Source organism: Homo sapiens, chromosome 15, assembly GCF_000001405.40.
Source record: "Homo sapiens chromosome 15, GRCh38.p14 Primary Assembly".
NCBI lineage: Eukaryota > Metazoa > Chordata > Mammalia > Primates > Hominidae > Homo > Homo sapiens.
Window position 1 is genome coordinate 90,305,736 of NC_000015.10, and position 1,105 is coordinate 90,306,840.

Sequence of the window (1,105 nt, forward strand, 5' to 3'; positions counted from 1 at the left end):
AGAGCAAGACTCCATCTCAAAAAAAATAATAAAGAATGCAGGGGCAGTTCAGCTTATACATCATGGGCATAAACAATGGCCACTAATTGAAATGGTAGTTTGAAGCTAGCCAGAAATAGCTCTTCACAAAAGAGATCAAGTCTTACTCTGTAAAAAGAGAGTAAAAGCTGAGAAAATATTTCTGAACTAAGTTCACCTTACACAAAGAACATATCCAGAGTTCTAGAATATATGGATATGCTAGGGGAAGAAATACAGATGCAGGCAATCCCCTCTCCTCAATCAGAGGGACAAAGGGTGGAATATGATCTCTGTTCTAAGGCCGTTTGCACTTTCTGTTCATCCTTACCCACTTGTGATGTGTTGTTGTGGTGGTTGTTTCTCAGCAAATGCTCTTAAGTCTGTTACGTAACCTTTCTAAGCACTTTACACATATGAACTGATTTGACTCACATAATAATCTTCTGGGATAAGAACTATTAGTATCATTCCCACTTGACAGATGCAGAAACCGAGGACCTGAGAGATTCCATAAGTCTCCCTGGCAAATTGGATTCAGCCCCAGGAAGTCTGGCTTCTTGGCCTACATTCTTGACTATAAAAGTTGCACTGTCTCTTTAGCTGAAGGGTGAACTTAGGCATTTGAACAGCCAAGGGGTTGTGGGTAGAGTGAAAAAAGAAAGGAAAGGCTTTGAAAGTTATCCTGTTGTTTGAAAACACGAAAAGAGAAGAGAAAAAGAAGGAGAGAGCCTGGAATAGCTGTGAGAAGGCAATAGAAGAAGTGGAAGAACAGGAAATGGAAGAAAAAAAGCAAAGAGAAATTGACCTTGTCCCTGCTAGGGTCCAAATCTAACGGCTTGCTCGGGCTGGAGGGGCTAGAAGTGGGTGTCTCTGCTTTCAAGCAGCGCATTTAACTTCACCGGCTTTCCCCAGGCTGTCTCTGCAGCAACCCACACGAGGGCCTCTTTTCACAGCAATTATGAAAGTGATGGTGGGAGGAAGTACAGCTCACTTATTGAGGTTAAAAAGCCACCCAAGTAAAAGCATTAACCCAGTAGTAAGATTAAATTCCTGGCCCCAAAGGGAAATTATCAGGAGGTGTCCT

The 1,105-nt window shown here is 42.3% G+C and overlaps 1 annotated feature.

Annotated features, from left to right (window-relative positions):
* Window positions 810-859: an enhancer, noted in NCBI's record as "active region_10075". NCBI's record gives its function as "activates an Ori minimal core promoter by ATAC-STARR-seq in GM12878 lymphoblastoid cells {active_cell/tissue: GM12878}" and the evidence as "EXISTENCE:reporter gene assay evidence [ECO:0000049][PMID:35858748]".